The sequence below is a fragment of the Homo sapiens genome, chromosome X (assembly GCF_000001405.40).
Source record: "Homo sapiens chromosome X, GRCh38.p14 Primary Assembly".
NCBI lineage: Eukaryota > Metazoa > Chordata > Mammalia > Primates > Hominidae > Homo > Homo sapiens.
Genome location: NC_000023.11, coordinates 151,022,970 through 151,024,444, shown reverse-complemented (window position 1 = coordinate 151,024,444; position 1,475 = coordinate 151,022,970). Strand labels below are relative to the sequence as shown.

Genomic DNA, 1,475 nt, shown 5'->3' with positions numbered 1-1,475 from the left:
AGGTAGAGACATAGACACAGACTTAGATACAGGAAGAGACACAGATACAGATAAAGGTAGAGACAGATGCAGCCAGAGACACAGATCTATATCTACAGAGAGACACAGATACAGGTATAGGCAGAGAAACAGAGACACAGATACACTACTGATAGAGACAGATACACATATGGGTGCAGGTAACTACAAGGTAGAGACAGATACAGATACAAATATATAAACAGGTGCAGATAGAGCTAGAGGTAGAGACACAGACAGAAATCTACAGAGAGACACAGAAGCAGGTACAGATACAGATACCGGTAGAGACACAGACCAGATACAGAGAGAGACACAAATATAGATACATGCAGAAACACAGATACAGATGCAGATGGAGACACCAACCAGATACATGTAGAGACAGAAAAACACACACATACGGAGAAAGAGAACATCTAGAGACACAGATACAGATAGAGACACAGATGTAGATGCATATAGAGACACCAATGCAGATGTAGACACAGATACAGATCCAGATAAATACATAGCTACAGATACAGATGCCAGCAGAGACACAGACCAGATAGAGATACATATAGAGACACACATACACGTATAGACAGATAAACAGATACAGAAGACATCGGTACAGATATACTTTTTCCTCAATATTGACTTCCGATCCAAAACTAGGTTTAGTGGCACATGGAAGATACCAAGTATTAAGAAGAACTCTCTGGAACCATTAAAGAGATCCTGGGGACTGCCCAGTTTGTGGGCTGTAATGTTAATGGCCACCACCCTCATGACATCATAGATGACATCAACAGTGGTGCCATGGAATGCCCAGCCAGTTAAGCACAAAGGAAAATATTTCAATAAAGGATCATTTGACAAAAAAAAAAAAAAAAGAATTGACAGTATCATTAACAGCTTTCAAAGATGGCTTTTAGAATTTATTGTTAGCTTCTGCTAAATCACTTGCTTCTGGTAATGAAAATTGTAAAACTAATTGGCTTTCCCATTTTGCTTTGGCAGCCTGGAAATTCAGAGCCAACAACAATCCTTACTCTTAACTGTAGCTCTGATGTTCTTCATATTCATACAGTTCTTTACCTGGTCTTGATTTTCCACTGCTGTTTCTATTTTCTTTAGGCCTGATTCTCTTTTCCTCTTTTATTAAATTGTGTTTTATTGTAAGCAGCCTCAAATCCATTGTGAAATGAGGCCAGGTGTCAATCAATGGAATAAAAGCAGCTGTATACCATAGGGGTTTCATCAGACAGACCAGGATTCAAACCCCAGCTCTGCCACTTCCTAGTATGTTACTTTGGGCATTCATGTTCCCTTGGTAGGCCTCGTCAGGCATCAATAAAATGGGGATAATAATACCACATTCACAGGGTTGTTTGAATAATTCAATAAAATACCATATCATATATACATCAAAACACCAAGCCCCATTCCTGAAATATAGCATGCAGTCAATA

General features: G+C 39.1%; 1 pseudogene; it reads left to right on the top strand.

Moving 5' to 3' along the window:
* RPL12P50 (ribosomal protein L12 pseudogene 50) lies at positions 714–882 on the top strand (annotated as a pseudogene).